Below are 420 nucleotides of genomic sequence, written 5' to 3'. Positions count from 1 at the left end.
TACTCAGGCTCCTGGAGGAGGGCAGCCTTGGTGGGCCCAGCAATTCCTGGCCAGCTGGACTTGGCCAGGGGCCGGTTTCAGTAAAGGCACTTACTCCCACCCCAGGCCCCAGTTCCTGGCCAGCTTTTGCCAGAAGGAGAGGTTGGACTTTGGAAGGTGGGTGTGAGTGTCTTCAATGAAACTGATCCCTGACACCCAGTCACCAGCATAACGAGGTGAGGCTCTAATGGTTCCAATCCCTGAGTCCTGTTTTGGGTTTTTCTTGCTTTGCCTGCCCAGCTGCTCCAAGCCAGGCTGAAGGAGGAGAAGGAGTCGCCGCCTGTGGTAAGGTCGAGCAGATGACGTGGCTCTGCAGCTTGCCTCATGCAGTTGGTGTTGGAGATGGAGACCACAGCTCGACTGGAGCGGTAGAAGGGCACC

The sequence above is a fragment of the Homo sapiens genome, chromosome 17 (genome assembly GCF_000001405.40).
Source record: "Homo sapiens chromosome 17, GRCh38.p14 Primary Assembly".
NCBI classification, from domain to species: Eukaryota; Metazoa; Chordata; class Mammalia; order Primates; family Hominidae; genus Homo; species Homo sapiens.
The sequence above is the reverse complement of the archived record's forward strand: the minus strand, read 5'-3'. Positions refer to the sequence as shown.